This window comes from Homo sapiens, chromosome 11, assembly GCF_000001405.40.
Source record: "Homo sapiens chromosome 11, GRCh38.p14 Primary Assembly".
Lineage (NCBI taxonomy): Eukaryota > Metazoa > Chordata > Mammalia > Primates > Hominidae > Homo > Homo sapiens.
The window spans coordinates 123,977,782-124,001,575 of NC_000011.10; the positions used below are offsets into that span (position 1 = coordinate 123,977,782).

Below are 23,794 nucleotides of genomic sequence, written 5' to 3' on the forward strand. Positions count from 1 at the left end.
TTACCCAGTAAGCAAGAGAAAGATGTACAAGTTCATCTTACAGTTTTGTTCTGCTCTAGTCTAGTGCTTCCTTGCTGTTTATTTCTTCATAATGAATCTTTCAATACAAAATCTGCAGTTTTGGTGAGGTATATAAAGGACTGTAAGAATTATTTGCAGAAATGCACTCCCTAAATAATGACAATAAAAATATGGATTATAAATCCTACTCTCAATGAGTATTTTTTGCAAATATTCCAGAATTGTGATGCCTCTGCCCTCCTACTCTATGTACCCTGCCATGCTGTAGATGTAGAAAGGCAGGTTCTTATTGCTGTGTCATCAGGGAGATGCATCCTATTTTCAGGTGAGACTTGCCTGGAGTTTTGGTGCTATTACATCAGCCAGAAACACAGCAGCCCCACCCATTACTCAACCAGAGGAGTTCTTTGGAATTTCAGTTACCCACAATCCTCAAGTGTGTAACAATTGAGGCTTGGAGAATAGACTGAATAATTATCAGGACAATTTTTTCTATACACTTTGTGTTCTTCCTGTAAAGCTCTGTTTCAAAATTTGGGGAATTGTTTGCCTTTTCCTTTCTTGTTGAGCCTTTCCACTGGACTGTAATTGAGATTTAAAGAGTTCTCTTTGATTCTTCCATCTTTCACCTCGTTAGCCTAACAGATGTTGCATTAGGTGAAAAATTTCCTTAAACTGCTTTTTTTCCGTGTTGTCTCTTCAATTCCTGTGGATTTTACCTAAACCCACCTCTTCATATTTTACACCTAGATTTTCACAATGGTATTTTATGTCCCATCTCTTCCTTACTCCCTGATATACCAAATGATTCAGTATTCAACTTTTTTGTGCCAGTTTTCTTAAAAAAATTCGAATATATCTTTTCTTACTGTTCCTTAGTGCCTGAGATATAAAGTGTATCTCTGTCCTACATTCAGAATTATCTGTAAACTATTTCCATTATCATGAAAAAAATCTTTATCTTCTGCAATCCCCTAAGAAACTCCTGTTATCCAGGGATGCTATTTGCCTCATCTCCTCAATTTGCCATAATCTCTCTCTGATCTTGTCACAGGATCCTTAGGATGTCACTTTTCCAGACAGAAACCTCTGTGGCTGGTGGTTCCTCTGCTTGAGTTTGCTCATGGCTGCTGGGTTCTTTTCACCCACTTGGCCTGGCAGGCTGCACTTGGCTCGTGCTACCAGCCTGGATTCCATGCTTGCCAAGGGTGGGAGAGGCGAGAGGTGTGTGAGTGAGCAAGCACAGGGGTCTGGCCACTGCACACAGCCAGGCACACTTGCTGCTGTGGTGGGATGGGCAGCTCCAGGTGCCAGCAGAGGCACCAGCTTCATGTGAGGCTATAGCTGGACCAGGCATACTGCAAGTGGTTTCCATTATGGGCACCAGCATCTGGACGAGGGGAATATGGGGGCACCCAAAAGCTCAGAGATGCCAGGAACTGCAGAGCCCAAAGAGGGTATTACAGCCTGTCACAGCCCTGGCTCAGGGAGTCCTGAGGTCTGGGCTCCAAGAAGCTCTTCTTTCCTTCTCGTCACCCACAATGCAGCCAATGAGGGGGTGAGTTTGGGGGTTTGTGTTTCAGTCTGTTTGTGTTACAGCCCTTTCAGTCCCACCACCCCACTCTGACCTGCAGCTCCTGGGCTGGCCTGGCCCACCTCTGCTTCCTGTCCCATTGGGTGGCCACCCAGCACTGGCAGAGGGTGGGAGGGCTATAGTGTTACAGCAGCTCTGGCTTGGGGAGTCCCGAGGTCTGGGCCACCAGGAGGGTCACCACTTTTTACTCCCATAGTCCGGGAGCATGTCACCACCCACAGCTTGGCAAATGAGCCAGGAACATGTTACAGCACCTTTAGCTCCCCCTGTTCGGTGGGTCCCAAGTTCTCATCCTGCGTCCAGGAAGAATGAGGATACTAGAGGACAACTAGAGGGTGAGCAAGGTGCAGAGGAGCTTTATTAAGCAAGAAAACAGCTCTCAGGAGACCTGAAGTCAGTAGCTCCTTTCTGCAGGCAGGTCCCCCCAGTGAGTGAGTTTGGCTGCATCTGAGGCTTTTATGTGCTTAGAATGGAGGAAGTGCATGCTGATTGGTCCATGGGTGGCTATAGGTGGGTCTGGAAAAAGCGTCATCCAATTGGCCAAAAGGCGTCAATGAAGTTCTCACTCTGGGTTGTGGACTTTACCCAGAACTGGCACCCCAGACCCCAGGCTCCAGGCTGTCCCTGGCATGAAGGTGGGGTTTCACTGGGGACCCACCCCTCCCACCTAGGAACATGTCTGCCTCCTGCCATCCGTGATACACAGGCTGTCCAGGCCAAGGGGTGCCTGCAGGCTGGCACTGAGCCACCCTCAGCCCCTTGGCTTCCCTCCTGTGCTCCTTGGCACCCAAAGTCCAGAGGGAGACAGGGCAGCAGGGAGCTAGCTGAATGTTATTGCCTAGGTTTTCTTCGAGGGTTTCTGTGGTTTTGGGTTTCACATTTAAGTCTTTAATCCATCTTGAGTTAATTTTTGTATAAAGTGTAAGGAAGGGGTCCAGTTTCTGTTTTCTGCATGTGGCTAGCCAGTTTTCCCAGCACCATTTATGAAATAGGGAATATTTTCCCCACTGCTTGTTTTTGTCGGGTTTGTTGAAGATCCGATGGTGGAAGACGTGTGGTCTTATTTCTGAGGTCTCTATTCTGTTCCATTGGTCTATATGTTTGTTTTGGTACCAGTACCATGCTGTGTTTGTTTACTGAAGCCTTATAGTATAGTTTTAAGTCAGGTAGTGTGATGCCTCCAGCTTTGTTCTTTTTGCTTAGGACTGTCTTGGCTATGTGGACTCTTTTTGGTTCCATATGCAATTTAAAGTAGACTTTCTAATTTCTGTGAAGAAAGCAGTTTGATGGGAATAGCATTGAATCCATAAATTACTTTGGCAGTATGGCCACTTTCACAATATTGATTCATCCTGTCCATGAGGGTGAAATGTTTTTCCATTTGTTTGTGTTTTCTCATTTCCTTGAGCAGTGGTTTATAGTTCTCCTTGAAGAGGTCCTTCACATCCCTCGTTAGCTGTATTCCTAGGTATTTTATTCTCTTTGTAGCAATCGTGAATGGGAGTTCATTCATGATTTGGCTCTCTGCTTGTCTATTGTTGGTATACAGGAAGGCTTGTGATTTGTGCACATTGATTTTGTATCCTGAGCCTTTGCTAAAGTAGCCTGTCAGCTTAAGGAGTTTTGGGGCTGAGACGATAGGGTTTTCTAAATATAGGATTATCTCATCTGCAAACAGAGTCAATTTGACTTCCTCTCTTCCTATTTAAATACCCTTTATTTCTTTCTCTTGCCTGATTGCCCTGGCCAGAACTTCCATTCAAAACCATGTTCAATAGGAGTGATGACAAAAGGCATCTTTGTCGTGTGCTGTTTTTGTAAAGGGAATGCTTGCAGCTTTTCCCCATTCAGTATGATATAGGTCGTGGGTTTTTCATAGACATCTTTTATTATTTTGAGATATGTTCCATTAATACCTAGTTTATTGAGAGTTTTTAGCAGGAAGGAATGTTGAATTTTATCAAGGTCCTTTTCTGCATCTGTTGAGATAATAATGTGGTTTATGTCATTGGTTCTGTTTATGTGATGGATTACAGTTGCACACGTTGAACCAGCCTTGCATCTCAGGGATGAAGCTGACATGATAGTGATGGATAAGCTTTTTGATGTGCTGCTGGATTCAGTTTGCCAGTATTTTTGCTGAGGATTTTCACATTGATATTCATCAGGGATATTGGCCTAAAGTTTTCTTTTTGTTGTTGTTGTTTTGTCTCTGCCAGATTTTGGTATCAGGATGATGCTAGCCTCATAAAATGATTTAGGGAGGAGGGCCTCCTTCTCAGTTGTTTGGAATAATTTCAGAAGGAATGATACCAGCTCCTCTTTGTACCTCTGGTAGAATTTGGCTGTGAAACCATCTGGTCCTGGGCTTTTTTTGGTTTGTAGGCTATTTATTAGTGCTTCAATTTCAGAACTTGTTATTGGTCTATTCAGGGATTCAACTTCTTCCTGATTTAGTTTTGGGAGGGTGTATGTGTCCAGGAATTTTTCCATTTCTTCCAGCTTTTCTAGTTTATGTGCAATGAGGTGTTTATAGTGTTCTCTGATTGTAGTTTGTGTTTCTGTGGGGTCAGTGGGGATTTCTCCTTTATCATTTTTTATTGTGTCTATTTGATTCTTCTCCCTTTTCTTCATTAGTCTAGCTAGTGGTGTATTTTATTTTTTTTTTTTTTTTTCAAAAAACCAGCTCCTGGATTCATTGATTTTTTTTGAAGGGTTTTTCATGTCTCTGTCTCCTTCAGTTCCACTCTGATCTTAGTTATTTCTTGTCTTCTACTAGCTTTTGGATTGCTTTGCTCTTGCTTATCTAGTTCTTTTAATTTTGATGTTAGGGTATTAATTTGAGATCTTTCTAGCTTTCTAATATGGGCATTTAGTGCTATAAATTTCCCTCTTAACACTGCTTTAGCTGCTTCCCAGAGATTCTGGTATGTTGTCTTTTTGTTCTCATTGGTTTCAAATAACTTATTTATTTCTGCCTTAATTTTGTTATTTACCCAGAAGTCATTCAGAAGCAGGTTGTTCAATTTCCATGAAGCTGTGTGGTTTTGAGTGAGTTTCTTAATCCTGAGTTCTATCTAATTCGATCACACTGTGGTCTGAGAGACTGTTTGTTATGATTTCCATTCTTTTGCAGTTGCTGAGGAGTGTTTTACTTCCAATTATGTGGTCGATTTTAAAGTATCATGTGACACTGAGAAGAATGTATATTCTGTTGTTTTTGGGTGGAGAGTTCTGTAGATATCTATTAGGTCCACTTGATCCAGAGCTTAGTTCAAATCCTGAATATCCTTGTTAATTGTCTGTCTCGTTGATTTGTCTAATATTGACAGTGGCATGTTAAAATCTCCCACTATTATTGTGTGGGAGTTTAAGTCTCTTTGTAAGTCTCTAAGAACTTGTTTTATAATTCTAAGTGCTCCTGTATTGGGTGCACATATATTTAAGATAGTTAGGTCTTCTTGTTGAATTGATCTCTTTACAATTATATAATGCCCTTCTTTGTCTTTTTTGGTCTTTCGTGGTTTGAAGGCTGTTTTGTCAGAGACTAGGATTGCAACCCCTGCTTTTTTCTGCTTTCCACTTGCTTGGTAAATTTTCCTTCATCCCTTTATTTTGAACCTATGTGTGTCTTTGCACGTGAGATGGGTCTCTTGAATACAGTGCACTGGTGGTCTTAACTCTTTATCCAGTTTGCCATTTGGTGTCTTTTCATTGGGGCATTTAGCCCATTCATATTTAATGCTAATGTTGTTATGTGTGAATTTGATCTAGTCATCATGATGCTAGCTAGTTATTTTGCACACTATTTGATGCAGTTTCTTCATAGTGTCATTGGTCTTTATATTTTCATGTGTTTTGCAGTGGCTAGCACTGGTTTTTCCTTTCCATATATAGTACTTCCTTCAGGAGCTCTTGCAAGGCAGGCCTGGTGGTGATGAATTTTCCCAGCATTTGCTTGTCTAAAAGGATTTTATATCTCCTTCGCTTATGAAGCTTAGTTTGGATGGATATGAAATCCTGGGTTGAAAATTCTTTCCTTTAAGAATTGTGAATATTGGACCCCACTCTCTTCTGGCTTGTAGGGTTTCTGCTGAGAGATCCACTCTTAGTCTATTGGGCTTGCCTTTGTAGGTGACATGGCCTTTCTCTCTGGCAGCCCTTAGCATTTTTTCCTTCATTTTGACCTTGGAGAATCTTATGATCATGTGTCTTGGGGTTGATCTTCTCATGGAGTATCTTAGTGGGGTTCTCTGTATTTTCTGAGTTTGAATGTTGGACTGTCTTGCATGGTTGAGTAAGTTCTCCTGGATTATATCTTGAAGTGCGTTTTCCAACTTGGTTCCATTCTACTCGTCTCTTTCAGGTATTCCAATCAGTCATAGATTCGGTCTTTTTACATAGTCCCATATTTCTTAGAGGTTTTGTTTGTGCTTTTTCATTCTTTTTTCTCTAATCTTGTCTGTCTGCCTTATTTCAGCAAGATAGTCTTCCATCTCTGATATTCTTTCTTCTGCGTAATCCATTTGGCTATTGATACTTGTGTATGCTTCACGAAGTTCTCGTGCTGTGTTTTTCAGCTCCATCAGGTTGTTTACTTTCCTCTCTAAACTGATTATTCTAGTTAGCAGCTCCTCTTTTTCAAGGTTCTTAGCTTCTTTGCATTGGGTTAGAACATGCTCCTTTACCTCAGTGAAGTTTGTTATTACCCATCTACTGAAGCTTGCTTCTGTCAAATCATCCATCTCATCCTCCATCCAGTTCTGCACCCTTGCTGGAGAGGGGTTGTGATCATTTTGAGGAGAAGAGGCATTCTGGCCTTTTGGGTTTTCTTCTTTTTTTTGCTAATTCTTTCTCATCTTCATGAGTTTGTCTAGTTTTGATTTTTGAGGCTGCTGACCCTTGGATGAGGTTTTTGTGAGGACTTTTTTGTTGTTATTGATGCTGTTTTTGTTGCTTTCTGTTTGTTTCTCTTTGAATAATCAGATCCCTCTTCTATAGGGATGCTGCGGTTTGCTGGGGATTCACTTCAGGCCCTGTTCATCTGGTTCACTCTCGCACCTGGAGATGTCACTTGAGGAGGCTGAAGGACAGCAAAGATGGATGCCTCCTCCTTCCTCTGGGATCTCTGACCTTTAGGGGCACTGATCTGATGCCAGTAGGAATGCTCCTGTATAGAGTGTCTGACAACCTCTGTTGGTGTCTTACCTGTTGGGTGGCACGGATAGCAGGACCCATTTAATGAGGCACTTTGGCTGTCCCTTCGTGGAGGAGGTGTGCTTTGCTGGGGGGAAACTCACTTGTCTAGGCTACCTGGATTCCTCAGAGCTAGCAGGAGGAAGGACTAAGTCTGCTGGTCCATGGAGACTATGGCTACCCCTTCCCCTAGGGGCTCAGGCCCAGGGAGATTAGAATATTTCCCTGGCTGGAGTTGGAGCCCCTCAGGGAGGCCCTGCAGCCACAATATTGGCTGCCATCCCTCTTCCAAGGAGCTCAGATGGCTTAGACTGCAGGCAGCCACAGCAGTGGTTATGACCGCCCCTCCCCCCAGGAACTCAGCAGGCTTAGGCAGATTCTAGTCAAGTGGGTGTTGAGAATCTGCACAGCTCCGTGGTTGAGGCCCAAGACTCCAGTGGCGTGGGGTCCTGAGTGGGATCTTCCAATCCATGAGTTGCACAGTTCCATGGAAAAAGCATGGTTTCCCAGGTTGGGTGGCACGCTCACTCACTGCCTCCCTTGGCTAGGGGTTGGGGCTCCCCTGCCTTGTGTGGCTCTCATGTGGGCTGCTGCATCACACTGCTCTTCCTTCCTCTCCATGGGTCACGTCAGCCACCCAGTCAGCCCTTATGACAGAACTGGGATACCTCGGTTGGCAGTGCAGGGTTCGCATACTGTTTTGGATCTTTTTGATGGGATCCTCTGATTTCTACTGCTTCTAGTTGGCCATCTTGGCCCCACCCTCAGCAGTTCTTCCAAATGGTAAACAAAGAGTTACCATATGACACAGAAGCAGTTTCACTCCTAAGTCTACTGAATAGAATGGAAAACATATATTCACAGGAAACTTGGATATGGGGGCTGGGTGCAGTGGCTCTTGCCTGTAATCCCAGCATTTTGGGAGGCTGAGACTAGAGAATTGCTTGAGGTCAGCAGTTTGAGATCAGCCTTGGCAACATAGTGACACCTTGTCTCTATTAAAAAAAAAATTTTAATTAAATCAAAAAGAAGATTTGAATACAAACATTTATAGTAGCATTATTAGTAATAGCCAAAAGGTAGAAACAACCCAAATGTATATCAACTGGTGAATGGATAAACAAAATGTAGTATGTGCATATTATGGAGTACTATGAAGCTGTAAAAAAGAATGAAGTATATGCTACAATGTGGGTGAACCTCAAAAACATGCCAAGTGAAAGAAGTCAGACACAAAAATCTCACGTGGTTTATGATTACATGTATATGAAATGGATAAATCCAGAAAATACATGAGTGGATGCCTGATCCTATGGGTGGGAATGGAAACTGACAGCAAATAAGCACAAGGTGATAGAAATCTTCTAAAATTAGATTGTGGAGATGTTTTCACAACTGGTATAAACTTGTTTAAAATTACTGAAATGTATAAATAAAATGTTTAGCTTTTATCTAAAAAAAATCTGTTTAAAAAATAGAAAACACAACTTGGATTCCTCTGATTAAGTTAGTATCCCATGTAATGAAGAGATTGTACATTTCATGATCTTTAAGACACTATGATATAGTGAAATGATATGATATGAAAATATACATGTATTTCACTATATGATGTAGTGAAATGATATCAACAGAAAGGTCTGGACAGAGGTAGATCTACAATTAAATCTGGCTCTCATACGAGCTTAGTAGCTTGATAAGCTCCCTTGAAATTTCTGAGCCTCAGTTTCCTCATGTGTAAGTGATTTTAAAATAATCAAGTTTAACATTTTAACAAGAACTATATCTATATAGTGTGTGTGTATATAAAATAGTAATTGTTGAGTAATTTACTAATTAATTGGTAGCTTTTATTATTGCATAGCTAATATTCTATTATTTCATGCCCTCCTTTGAAATAGTTCTAATGTCTATAATTCTATTTTTCTACAATCACTATACTTAATAACTTAAACTCTTACATTTGGCTTATTTTAATTTCTATTAGTTGGTCACATTGACATCTGTCACCATCCTTCTCTAAACTTTTCCCATATGATTCTTTCACATTGACCATTTTTCATTTTCCACTTAAAAGTTGGAGATTCCACTGTCCAAGGCATAATCTAAACTTTTCAAGACAGGTTAGCATCCTCTCTGTTATCCGAGCATAGCACTTTCTTCCCTTGTAAATAATCAATTGTTTTTTATTAGTGCTTTATCCTCCATTGGGTTATATTTATATTTCCTGCAGGGCTTAGGAATGTTTTTTTTTAATAATTTAGATAGTAAATAAAAATAGTTTAGTAAAGACTAAACAAATGCTACCTACATCACAGTGATACAGAAAGAGAAACAGGGAAAAATGGGTAAGGTTCTCAGCCCATAGTTATTAGGATGAGAGATGCTCAGTCACAGTGACACTAGGTGTGGGTATTGGAGTTGGGCCATTCGTCCTCATTACCTTATTTTCATTCATAGTAGATGGTTAGTTACTCCCCTTTTTACTTAACTGAATTTATTCCTTTGACTTAACATATTTTTTCCTCTAAGTGCAATGTCACCATGGTACATATAAAGACATATAATATTACTCTGAAGATCCTATATTGTTACTATTGTCTGCTTTTTCTTTGAATCTCTCAGTAGAAGAATTGTTAATTGCATTAAGCACACAAATTATAGCCAGATGATGTTAGTACTAATCTCCTATTCAAATAAATACATAGTCTCCAAAAGGGCCTGGAAAATCCACTTCCTTAAGAAAATGTGGCACATATACACCATGGAATACTATGCAGCCATAAAAAATGATGAGTTCATGTCCTTTGTAGGGACATGGGTGAAATTGGAAATCATCATTCTCAGTAAACTATCGCAAGAGCAAAAAACCAGACACCGCATATTCTCACTCATAGGTGGGAATTGAACAATGAGATCACATGGACACAGGAAGGGGAATATCACACTCTGGGGACTGTTGTGGGGAGGGGGGAGGGATAGCATTGGGAGATATACCTAATGCTAGATGACGAGTTAGTGGGTGCAGTGCACCAGCATGGCACATGTATACATATGTAACTAACCTGCACAATGTGCACATGTACCCTAAAACTTAAAGTATAATAATAATAAAAAAAGTCTTATAAAAGTGGATTTCTTCCAATCTTTTTCTATTCCTGCTTTTGTTGGATTCTTTAGTAGAGCTACAGATGGAGATGAGCAGTGCCTTATTTCCAGGAGGCATGGGAAATTTCATCCAATACCTGTGAACTTTTGCCTGGAGTCTGAATTTCATTACATCGATAAGAGTACAGGAATCCCACCTGCCACACACCCAGAGTGAGTCTTGGAATCTGAAACTCTTTCAAAGCTTGGAATTGTGTGTTCAGTTAATAATCAAGGCAATTTCTGTGGTTTGTAGTATTCTCTGGATTTCATCTCTAAATTTTTAGGCAACAAAAGCCAAAATTGACAAATGGGATCTAATTAAACTAAAGAGCTTCTGCACAGCAAAAGAAACTACCATCAGAGTGAACAGGCACCCTACAAAATGGGAGAAAATTTTCGCAACCTACTCATCTGACAAAGGGCTAATATCCAGAATCTACAATGAACTCAAACAAATTTACAAGAAAAAAACAACCCCATCAAAAAGTGGGCGAAGGACATGAACAGACACTTCTCAAAAGAAGACATTTATGCAGCCAAAAAACACATGAAAAAATCCTCACCATCACTGGCCATCGGAGAAATGCAAATCAAAACCACAGTGAAATACCATCTCACACCAGTTAGAATGGCAATCATTAAAAAGCCAGGAAACCACAGGTGCTGGAGAGGATGTGGAGAAATAGGAACACTTTTACACTGTTGGTGGGACTGTAAACTAGTTCAACCATTGTGGAAGTCAGTGTGGCAATTCCTCAGGGATCTAGAACTAGAAATACCATTTGACCCAGCCATCCCATTACTGGGTATATACCCAAAGGACTATAAATCATGCTGCTATAAAGACACACGCACACGTATGTTTATTGCGGCATTATTCACAATAGCAAAGACTTGGAACCAACCCAAATGTCCAACAATGATAGACTGGATTAAGAAAATGTGGCACATATACACCATGGAATACTATGCAGCCATACAAAATGATGAGTTCATGTCCTTTGTAGGGACATGGATGAAATTGGAAATCATCATTCTCAGTAAATTATCGCAAGAACAAAAAACCAAACACCACATATTCTCACTCACAGGTGGGAATTGAACAATGAGAGCACATGGACACAGGAAGGGGAACATCACACTCGGGACTGTTGTGGGGTGGGGGGAGGGGGGAGGGATAGCATTAGGAGATATACCTAATGCTAGATGACGAGTTAATGGGTGAAGCACACCAGCATGGCACATGTATATATATGTAACTAACCTGCACAATGTGCACATGTACCCTAAAACTTAAAGTATAATAATAATAAAAAGAATGCAACCCCCCCCCAAAAAACACAATTCTTAAAATTTCAGCCAAAGTTGGGGAAATGTAAGAAATTGATATGATCAGGAAATGGGATTAGAGTATACTTTTTAAAAATCTTGACATTATTAAGTTGCTTAAAGTTTTAATAAAACATTTTTTAAAAATAAAAAAAAAGGACTTGTCTTACTACACACACCCTTTCTATTCTCTTCAATGGGTAAAGCTAGATATCAGAATTCCATTTGAATTTTTCTGTTTTTTAAAAAACATGAATAGCCTTTTTCTTGAAATGTAAGTCTTATTTGTATCTGCATTTAATTTTTTATAACCATTATCCTTAGTTTCTCATTTCATAATGAGATGAAACCCATCATAAGCCATTCTCATAACGAAATGAGAGACTGAGGGTAATGGTCATAAAAGACTCATTTCATAATGAGTCTCTCATTTCATTATGTCTCAGGGATTATAATTATAATCTCCTGCAAGGTCTTCTCAACTCTCACCTCTCCCCTTTAATGAATCACTTCATCCTGCATAACATTGACTGATCAAATTTCAAAAGAGTTTATCTCACTGGTCCCCTCCCACAAATGCTAATAATCTCAATCTCACATACTGATTTACTGTGCAACACAAAATTCTCAATTTATAACTCAAAACTTCTAAAATGTGATTGGTATCCATTTATTCTTATCCCCTACAACTTTTCTCTACTCAAGTACATTTCTCTGTTCAATAAGCATTTCTTTATGCAAGTAGATTTTCTCAACCTCTCCTAAATTTACTGTTAATCTCCTCTTGTTCTCCTCACCCTACCCAATCCCCCCTTGAAGAAATCAACTTCATTTTTATCTGATAACATCTCTAAAGCTTCTCGGACTTTAGTGTGCACATGAGTCACCTGGGACTCTTGTTAAGCTGCAAATCCTAATTCAACAGGTCTGGAGTAGGGACTGAGATTTCTGTCTTTCTAATAAGTGCCCAGAGATTTCCATTATGTGGTTCCATGAATTGCACTTTGAGTAGCAAGAATCTAAGCTACTATTCGAGGTTAAGATCAAGCCTATCCTCTCCATGTTGTCTTTCTACCCTAAGAATGCTTTGGTTCCCCTGTAAACTCAGTGGCATTTAACAGTGTGTTTTGATATGTAGCCTGTTCAGAAACTCTCTTAGCATACTTCTACACTTTTCTATGTGTATGTGATATAGTTCCCTAAGAAGAAGAATGTTTTCCATAAATATCTTTGAAAGAGAGCCAAAAAATGGCATGAACTATGAAGTTAGATGGACTTGGGTTTATTGTCCTGTCACTGTCAACTACTGGTTGAAGGATATTTGGAAGATTGCTCACTTCCTCTTCTCCTCTTGCTAAATACATCAATTCCACACCTTTAAAATGAAAATAATAATGCATAAAGAGTGTCCTATTAATAGTTGCTATTAACCCTGGATAGTATGTGAAATAACATAAAATCTTAATTTTTTAAAAGTCAGTTACTCAAACCGCTGAATTTTACATGACCCTTTCAATATGAGAATATCACTACTTCACAGAAAAGTCAATTCCAATATTGGACTGTTCATATACAATTTATACCATATACTGTTATACATATACTGTTCATACAATTTAAATCAACATGACTAAACTTCCCCCAATTATTTTTAGCCTAATCCTTTAAGCTCAATGAAATAGTCAAAATACCAAATAAATTCAAATAGAAATAATTTTTTGAACAAATCATGCTTACTGTATTTCACCACCTGCGTATAGCATAAAAATGGTAGGTGAGAAAAATCTGGCTAGTGACTGTCAAGCCTGACAAAAAAATTGAGACTTTGCTATGACACCTCTTTTCTTATCTCTTTCCTAGGAGTGTTTTTCTCCATGCTCCTCAACTTAGAATGGAATTAATGTCCTGATAAACCCATCCTAAGTCAAAAATATCATAAGATGAAAATGCATTGAATATACCTAACTTACCAAACATCATAGCGCAGTTTAGCCCATCCTAAATGTGCTCAGAACACTTCCATTAGCCTACAGTTGGGCCAAATCATCCGAAAGAAAGCCTATTTAATAATAAAATTTTGAATATCTCATTAAATTCATTGAATACTATACTGAATATGAAAAATAGAATGCTTTTGCACAATCATTAAGTTGAGCCATCCTAAGTTGGAGACCGTCTGTATACTCCTTTCAAAAAGCACAGATCATGAACATTTATGAACTCAGTGGGACTGGAACAATTATAGGACTTTTGAATATCAAAATCTAGAATAACTTAGAGATCATCTTGCTTCACTTCATTTTACAGACAAAGAAAGTAAATCTGGAAAGACTAAGTAGATACCGACAAATTGAAATGCCTTCTAGGAATTTAGAAATAAGGATAATTAGGGTTCTTGCTGAGTATTAAACTTTACGTATTACCACATAAATGATCTGAGCAGATAAATACAAACTTAGAATGGCTATCAGGTCATGACAGGAAGGAATGTATTTATAAAAAATAAGACACTCTAGTGAGGTGTATTCAGGAAGACGTGAACAAGCGTAGGTATATCTCTTTGTAAGACAAAAAAGACTGAATATAATGTGAATGGTAAATATATTAAAATGATTTCTATTTTCAATATGAGTTCAGTTAAGATGGCAGAAATGTTTCTGTTTGTTTACTACTTGATAAAATATCTGGAAATTAATCTAAAAAAACAGATATGAGGAAATGGCCCCAAATAATCTGAACCTGATTAGAAATGAATGAGAAAATAACCTTATTAGATGTTTAAAAGTATATTAAAGCCACAGGTATTTTTAAAGTTTGGTACTAACATATATATAATAATGATATCTGCACATATGTCAACATATGTATTTGAATTTTAAAATATACAGCCAAAGAATAAAAAGACACCAAAGAATACTTAATATTCAAACTCTAAACAGTAGTACGTTTTTAGCTTCTATTTTCAAGAATGGAGAAATATTCATACAGTCTAACACTACTTTTCCTTTTCTGTCTTATTTATTCATTTTTTATTCTCAATATTAGATAACCTCAAAACAAACTTGAAATCAAAATACCCTCTTAAGAAGTGAAGTTGCATAAAAATACTATCCTATGTGGCTCTTTCTAGTGGAGAGTTCAAATTCTGGGCTTACAGAAATAAGTTCACATATTAGCCCTGCTGCTCATTGACTGTGTGGATACAGTATAAAGTAAAATTTGCTGTTTGATGTTTTTATGTGGTAGTTTTCTTAACATAAAATAGTAAGATGTATTTTTTATTTCTCTATTAAGAGCAAAACAACCAATTAATTTTTTTTTATGTGACCTTTTTCTGTCTGTGTGATGTGTCATTGGCCCTGATGAGAAAAAGAAGTCCTCGTGTTTGCCTGAATTTGACTTCTAAGTAGGCACTTCTCTGGGATCAGAGGACTGATTACATAATTTCTGCCCCCCTTTGTGCCAGGGAGTGTTTATGTGCCCATTGCACTGCAGTTCTGTAGGTCTGCCAAATAGAGTTTGTAACTGTCTTGGGCTGCTCTTCCTAAGATAGTTAATTAGTCTTCTCTGGAGCATTCTCCTAGGATTATATCAAGGATTTATGTTGTTTTCATCACAGGAAAAAATCACTGTCATCTCACTGACTAGATCTTACAAGACCTTCAAACTACAGATTATCTTAAATTTTTCAATAAGCTAGCTTTTTAAATTCCAGGCCAAATACTCTCCCTCTCTCTGTGCTTCTCCTGAATAATATTCATTGCACACGGAATTATACCAGTCATTTCTTATTTATTTTATGGTCATATGTTTTATCTCTCTGCCTCATATATAAATGCATTTTCTTTTTATAAGATCATAAACCCATTTGGAATAGACAACAATGTCATGGTTTTGGTGATACACTGAAAAAAATTGTGTCACGTTGAATTGGATTGCCTATTCATACATATTTTGATGTTTAACCTTGCATCTCTGCTGTTCAAACAAGCAAAGTCACTGACAACACACATTTTTCTCAGAAAGCTTCTGGTGCACAGAAATCAATTCTCCATTATTCCAGTGTTTTTACAATTGGAATTGAGTTTGGGGGAATGTAGTGATCCTCTTGGACTGTATTTACCCACATACTTTTGAAATATCAGCAAACGCATCTGTCGCACCCAGGGGGTCCTGAGGGTGAAGGACCCACATTTAGACACTGACAAGACTGTTATAAGACATAGGTGACTAGGACATGCTTCAGGTCACTATTGACTCATCTTGTTGCAGCCAGGTACATGCTTCATCCCACCTGCCCCACACTCATACTCAAAAGCTATGTAACAAATGCAGAAGTGTGGTAGCATATGCATTTGTCTACTATCTCAGATATGGAAGCATCAGGGAGACCCAGTTTATGTGGCGCAGCCGGAAAGCTTATCCTTGATATACCCATGTCAATCTTACAAAAGTGGAGCTCTGTGCAAGCTCAGACGACTCGGCCTCCGCAGGTCCTAGTGCAGGGCATGCGTAACCGGCTCCCTCACGTTGAGATGAAATTGCCCCCTCAAGTTTAAGTCCAAGGTCATGACCTACCATTTTCATCAAGGTAAAAGGCAGAGAGAAGGAAGTTTGGATAAGCCTTTTACTTGAACTTCAGTTTCCCCGCAGTTACATGGGAAAATAATAATACCTACCTCACATAATTATTGTCGAGGTCAAATCAGGTGGTTTGCAGGAAAGTTATTTATAGCCTGGAAAGAGATAACAGGTATCAATGCAGGAACTAGAAGCAATAATAGACATGTAGATGAATGCCTCAGAGAAGCAGAGGTTTCATGCAGACATTTTCTTATCTTGAGTCTTTTTAACAAGGTGCCACCCTTGCTGAGTTGCCTTAACTGCTTTTCATTGGCACTGAAGAAAGACATATGGAAAATCACGTTTGAGAACAGGTTACAATGTGGAACTTTCCGGGTTCCCAGCCAGGAGTCCTCTATTCTATGCATGAATCTTTCTTTCTATTTCTGCTTTAAAATTTCCACTTATTTGGTGTCCTATCCAGGGCCCTGCATTATAGGGTTTCCTGCATGTCTGTGATGGATGAAGTCAGTGAGGCTGCACTTCCTTGTGGCCCCCTAGCCTCTGTAATGCTGCCTTCATTTCTTTGTTGCACAGTGTGTAGATGATGGAGTTAAGCAAGGGAGTGATGACAGTGTAAAAGACAGCTACCACCCCATCCAGGGGCTCCTGTGAACAAGGCCGCAGGTAAATGAAGGTGCAGGGCACATAGTAAACAATGACAACAGTGAGGTGGGCAGCACAAGTGGAGAAGGCATTGCGGCGCCCATCTGCTGACGGAATTCGCAGGATGGCAGCTACAATATAGCCATAGGAAGTGAGGATGAGCATGAAGCAGGTGAGGGCCAGGAAGCCAATGTCTGCAAAGGTGACCAGCTCGTTGATGGCCGTATCGGCGCAGGCTAGACGCAGCATGGCAGGAATGTCACAGAAGATGTAGTCGACCCGATTGGGGCCACAGAAGGGCAGCCGGAATACAAAACTTGTTTGGAAAAGTGAATGGATAGTCCCTCCCAGCCAGGTGCCTAAAGCCAGGGAGTTACAGACTCTGTGGGTCATGATGGTAGCATAGTGTAAGGGCTTACAAATGGCAAGGAAACGGTCATAAGCCATGAGTGTGTAAAGGAAGCACTCAGTACAGCCCAGGAAATGGAAAGAAAATAGTTGGATTACACAGCCCCCAAAGGAGATAATCCTACTACCCAAGAGAAAGCCAGCCAGCATCTTGGGGACAATAGCACAAGAAATGGTCATGTCCAAGAAGGAGAGGTGACACAGGAACAAGCACATGGGACGATGGAGCCGGATGTCCACTAAGACAGTGAGGATGATGAGCCCATTTCCAGAAACAGTGAGGAGATAGATGACAAGGAAAGCTAAGAAGAGTGGCGCTCCCAGCTGTGGTGGGTGGTGCAGGCCCACCAAAATGAAGTGAGACACAGAAGTCTGGTTTCCACTTTGCAGTTCCTTGCTGTTCACATCTGTCAAAAGAAGTAGCAGAAGGAGATGCTCAACACCCTCTAACATTTCTAGGCTCAGCACATCAATTCTGTGTCACTCCCAAATAAGGACAGAAAAGGATACTTATCTATCTATTCTATCTATCTATCTATCTATCTATCTATCTATCTATCTATCTATCTATCTATCTAACTATCCGTTCTCTCTCTCTTCTCTCTCTCATTCTTGCTACTGGTCTTTATCATTCTCTCACCTTACTCCCCCTCAACTCCTGATTCTGAGATTCTGCTTGGTGTCAGGGAGCAGTTGTTCTCTCCAAGGTTAAAGGTAAATGATGATGTGTACATAATTTAGGAGAATGAAGGAAAGACCATACACAGAAGAAGTAATCTTCCTTTCCAATCAGGAAGAAGAAATATAATCATATAAAAGCTAAATTAATTGATAAAGGAAGATCTGTTCCATTGTTTTCCTTCAGTTTGATCTCTGATATGTATACCAGAGAGTTAGCTTGCATCTTATTGATTTTCTAGGAACATCAGAGTTGTGATTATATTTCCTATCTAAGTGTGCCCAGTGAAAAAATTTTCAGGTTTTAAAAAAAATATACTATCTGACCTGCACACTGAACCTAATACATTCAGAACCTCTGAAGTTTTAGCTAAAAATATCTATTTTCAAAAAATCTATATAAAAATTTACATGTCATTTAAAATCTCTCAGAATAGTGAAGCAATACAAAATCTTAGCCCCAAGGCACTGGGTTGCCTTTTTTTCTCTCTACTTCTGGAAAGTAGAGTCCATTTGTCCATCCGTCCATCTGTCCATCCATCCGTCTATCCACTCATCCATCTATCTGTACACCCATACAGTAGGGCGCTATATATTGTATCTTATGAGTACAGCCTGTGAAGTCTTACTGGGTTCAAAGATCTAGTTCACTTATACTCATTGGTAATCACATTTTTAATATGTTTTTACAATTATAAGTGGGGACAATAATAGTGTCTACTTCATAGGATTGTTGTAAAGATTCAATTAATTCACACAATTTACAGTAGCACTCAATCAACATTAGCTATGATTTTTCATCAAATATATGTTGTAATCTCGTATTGTTAGACAAATTCCATCTTTGCATGTGTGGCTCTGGTCTGAAGTGAACCTATGGTTTCTAGCGAGTTGTTCAGTGCTCGATGACACCCCTGCAAATTTGGAGCAGCTTCACAAAGGGCTTCTCCTCCCAGGATTACTGGTGAATGGGACCCGCCAAATGTCAGGGAGAAATCAGGAAAGTAACTGAGAGCAATGCGAGGTGTTCTTCCTAGTGTCACTTTACTTCCATCAACTTTTTTTTTTTTTTTTTTGAGACAGAGTTTTGCTCTATTGCCAGGCTGGAGTGCAGTGGCACAATCTCGGCTCACTGCAACCTCCACCTCCCGGGTTCAAGCGATTCTCCTGTCAGCCTCCCAAGTAGCTGGGATTACAGGCCCGCGCCACCACGCCCAGCTATTTTTTGTGCTTTTAGGAGAGACGGGATTTAACCATGTTGGCCAGGATGGTCTCGATCTATTGACCTCGTGATCGCCCCACCTCGGCCTCCCAAAGTGCTGGGATTATAGGCACGAGCCACTGCGCCCGGCCCCTTCTATCAGTATTTACTCCAATAGTCTGTTCACAAATGGGAGGCAAATATCCAAATGGCGTGTCACCTTCAAGAAGGTTCAGGGACAACACTGAATCTCTCAGAAGGCTTCAGAGGATGTGGAAGGAAATAGGGCTCCAGCTGGGCTCGTGGTGGGTGAGGCAGCTGCAACTGCAGCTGCCTGCCCTCTGACTACTTCTCTCCCCTCTACACTATGGATTGCCTCGCATCCCTCATCAAACCCTCTCAATCTTTAGCACCACACAGACTACACTTCTCAGTAAAATTAAGTTTGCTGAGGACTGAGCAATTTCCAGGGTTGGGACTTTCTGTGCTAAACCTAAAAGAGTCCCTGGTAAACCGAAACCGTTTGTCCCCCTAAATAAGAGTTTAAACTGCATAGAAGCTAAATCATCTTTCCCAAGGTAGCTATAAAATCTATTTTGAAACAACTTCTGGGGCAATTCTTAGTGATTTCTTAGGCAATTCTTTGATTACCAACCTTTAATGGTACCACATTGCCCAAGGGGAAAGTGCAAATTGACTGGTGTGGTTGTGTTGACCTACTTCTCCAGCCTCCTCTCAGCACTCCATCCCATAACTGTGCTTTAACCAAACATTTTCTGTTTCCTTATACAGTAGCCCCTTTAATCTAGAATGGCTTTGCTCCTCTGATGTCTGAAAAGTTTCCACTGACCTTTCAAAATCCCATTCAGGTGTCATCTACTCAGTAAAGCCTTTGCTCTCTTTCCTCCAAATGACCACTCATTTTTCACGGCCTCCACAGTACTCCAGTCATGTTTCTATGATAGGCTTACTATGAGCATGCTGAAATTTACCCTGTGCCTGTGTCTAATTTCTTCGTTAGGCTGTGAGCTCCTACAGGGGCTTTGTCTCATCTTTCTTTTCATCCCATTTGTAGCATACCTTTCACAGAAAGATTCTAAAATAGTATTGAGCGAAGGCATTTCCCTCTGCCTGGATCAGTCTATTAATTTAGATGCTGAATCTAGAAGAATATCAGTTAGATCTTGTATTCTGACTTTCAAAATCATAAGAATTTCAGTACCATCACTACTTATGAGCTATATTATTTTGGATAAATCTCTTAAAATTTCTAGTCTCAGTTTCTCATTTTAAAAAAAAGAGGGAGTGTGGTAGGTATAGATTTCTAACCAAAAAAGAAACATCAATCTCTTTTGCATCTATATCAATTCCTGTTTTAAATTTTGTTCTTACACAAAGAAAAATCAATATTTCTCCTAGTCCCAACTCTCTTCTGTACTATAACTTTTTTCCTTGCCATCTAGCTACTTTGACATCTCAGTTTTCGTTCACTTTTATAATTTATTTTCTCTACAGAGAAATAATATTATTTATCCCTGGAGAGAGCAAAATACCCTGCTTTACCCATTAATAACTAAAACTACTCCAGTTACTTGGTGTATACATTTTAGTTAATATCACATTATAGTATCAGCAATGTGATATGTTCTTCTCTGTAAGGGGAAAAGAAGCAATTTTCACAAGAAGTCTTGGGAATAAAAGGACATTAGTAGCCATATACTAGCTTCATTTGGCCATTTCAAACCCTGTTTGAACTGAACTAAGCTTGAGGTAGACCCTGAAACACATGTGTCTCAGGAAACTCCAAGAGGGAGACTGGCCTTTGGTAAGCAGAATATAAAGACTCACCCCTCTCCAGGTATTTGTAAAGCATAATGCCATTAGGAGGATCTAATGTGCCTTCCATGTTCCCAGCATCTCTAACATGCATTTAATCAAATGGAAAACAAACGGAGACTGCTACCTGGCTGGGAATCTACTGTGAGGCCATCATCTGCTGCTTCCCTCAGCTTCTCCATGCTCTTTACTGTTCTTCATGGAGGCTCCTTTTTGAACTCAATAGGTTTCCTTGTCTTTGCCTTTGACATGCCCCTTCTTGCTTATGTCATTGCCCTCTTTCTGTATGCTTCCCTGGGCTCCCCCTTCCCATTTGTAGCCCATTCGAAGCTGTTGGCAGTGGCATTCCTAGGCCCTGGACCCCTACAGTCTCACTTTCTGGCAGGCAGCTTTTTTCTTCCTCTAGTCCCTGTAGGGTGGGAGACAGGGGGCTGACATCACTTCTGCTTTGCCCTTCAGGGGCAATTAACTTACAGGGAAATAAATTGCAGTGGGCTTTGTTAACGGCAAAGCCAGTACCACTCGAGGAAGTTCGCTTAGTTGCTAGTGGTGGCCCTGTAGCATAGGATCCTGCTAAAAGCATGCACTTGATCAGGAATCAGGAGGCCCCTTCCATTTCTCTGGGTTTTAGTTTTCTCACTATAGAGAAAATGATGATTTACTCACTTACTTATAAAAGCATGGGGATACAATTTGAAATAATTTAAAAGCCACAGGCACTAAATAAATGCCATATGTTAATTGCTTTTAAACATACCCTATGAATTTAACTCAGAAGGAGTAAATTACTAGAACTTTGCATTAGGACAGGCAATACTATTTTGGGCAGAACTGTTTAGATCACTTAGTATGCAAACAGGAGACTCAGCTAGAAGGAATATGAAAAATGTAGCAATCCTCAAAAGTCAAACACACTTAGGTTGGAGCTTTAGATAAATGACCCAGAGTGCATCTCCATTTTATACATGAAAAAACCGAGTTCTAAAGCGAATAAGGACTTTTCCAAAGATAAAAGCTCATACAGCTTAGTTAATGGATAAAATCTCATATGAGTCTGTATAAATGAATTGTACAATTTACCCAACTCTGAGAATAGAGGAGCTTATAGTTCTGAACTAGTGCTAGGCAAACTATAGCTCAGTAAATAGTTGTTAAAATACTTTTTGTCTGGTGCTGAATACGTTTTAATTGCTTACTTTGAGTCATTGCTGGTTTGCGATGTTTAAGTAGCGTATTATGAAACACAACATTGCACTTGCTCTGTTTTTTGGACAAGCCATTTCCCACTTAAGAAATCATATAAGGTCAGCATTAACTATTTTAGTTTGTATTACTACATGTTCCTACTGCACGAATATGATGTTGAGTTTAAATTAGATTTAGGGTTCTGCTAATAGGGAAGTCTACATTTAGAAAGGAAGATGGAAGAGACTTAAGACTCCAAACACCTAATCGTCCCTTCTCACTGAGAGTTCTCCTGTTCTGTGACATCGCTAATGGGAATACTGTGTATATTTACATAGATAAATACAAGACAAAGGAATACATGATTACAAACTGAAGCTTTGGTTCCAAATTCCAATGTGGATGCTTGACCTTGGGAAGTTAGGAAAGGCCTTTAATCTACAGTAGGAAGCCATAGTGGTTGTTCTTTACCCTAGACCTCTTTTTGTTTTCCATTTGATTTTCTATGTGGATAAGGACATGGAAAGGGTGGGGAGACTTCTTGCAAAAAGGAGCTATCATCATCTACTTTTGAAGCAGAAGAGAAAAAATGGGAGAAAAGGAAATTAAAAATAAATGGCTCAGTTTTATCCAAATGGGGGCAGATCCAGTTCCCTTGCCCTCTCAGGCCAAGCAGAAGGAGAAACAGGTAAAGATACCACCCTCAACTGGGATCAAATATTTAATTAATCCATTTGCTTAAAACAATAAACTTGACAATTCCCATGAATGGATCAATCAAATACCCTGCAACTGACAAAAATGTTTGTTAGTTCCTCTTTTGGGGCAATGTGGGGAGGCACGTGGAGGTGAAGGGTAGAGTAGTTGGAGGGGTGAAACAAGGGGAGGGTATCTTTTTCCAAAAGGTCAGCTTTGCAGCCAGGTCTAGTGCTAAAAGCCTTAGGACTACAGCATAAAATCTGTGAGTGAGGCATGGTTTTAGTACATAATGTGCCATGGTGCGCAGCGTATGATAATAAGCTATCAGTAAGCATATTTTAGGTAGAATAACTGGGGGAAGGAAGGAAGGGAGGGAGGGAGGGAGAGAGGGAGGGAGGAAAGGACAAAGGAAGGAAGGGAGGGAGGGAAGGAAGGAAAGAAAGGGGGAAGGAAAAGGGGAAAGGAAAAGGGAAAGAAGGGAACTAGGTAGAGAGGGGAAGGACATCTGAGACTTATGAGATTGGGGTAAAAAAAACCTTCAGATTTGGAAGGAAAATGATTGAATGAACAGGTCAGTGGGCCTCAGAGTTGGAAGTAGAATGAGCTAATGAACAGGCCAGTGGGTAAGATATTCCGGAAGAAACAAAGGGTTTTGATTGGGTTTGTGGGAGTACATGAAGATCTTGTTATGGGTTAAGAATTATAGACTGAGACTCACGGTCACCGGAAACCTTACCAAAAGAAGACGATGATAGAGGAGAAATTGAAAATGAAGTAAAAATGATTTGAGGTTGAGGTTATGCCAGGTAAGACCGTAGGTACCTGGCTAAATGATACCCGTAGGCTTCTCTCAAATGGTATATTCATAGATTGACAGAAAAGGGGATTGGGCAGATATGAGAATTATCACGACACTACAAAGTTAGTACATGAGAGTACACAATGTGTGGGAAAAAACTGTAGTGGCAGATCAAAAGTAACCTATGAATTTCCCTAAAGTTGGTCTCATTTTTTGGTAAGGGAACTGCTCCATCTTTATCTAAGTCACAGCACAGGACAGGCAGGGAGATTGTAGCCAGTGAGCAAAAAAAGAGACAGTGAGAACAGGGGGTCAAAATGTCACAAGAGCCAGAGGAGAATCATACAAGACATTTCAAGGTCCAGAGAGTGGAGACACTAGCCAGATGCATGTTATCCTCTGTGGGGTGTTTTGAACCAGAAGGGGTATCGGGTGAGAAAACCTTGAACGAATGATAATGTAGGTTTGA

The 23,794-nt window shown here is 39.9% G+C and overlaps 1 protein-coding gene across 1 annotated transcript; it reads right to left on the reverse strand.

Annotated features, from left to right (window-relative positions):
• Positions 1-16,381: 16,381 nt before the first annotated feature.
• On the reverse strand, positions 16,382-17,380 carry OR10G6 (olfactory receptor family 10 subfamily G member 6). The gene has a single exon (NM_001355219.1). It carries the CDS (start codon positions 17,378-17,380, stop codon positions 16,382-16,384), a length of 999 nt encoding a protein of 332 aa, NP_001342148.1.
• Positions 17,381-23,794: the final 6,414 nt, after the last annotated feature.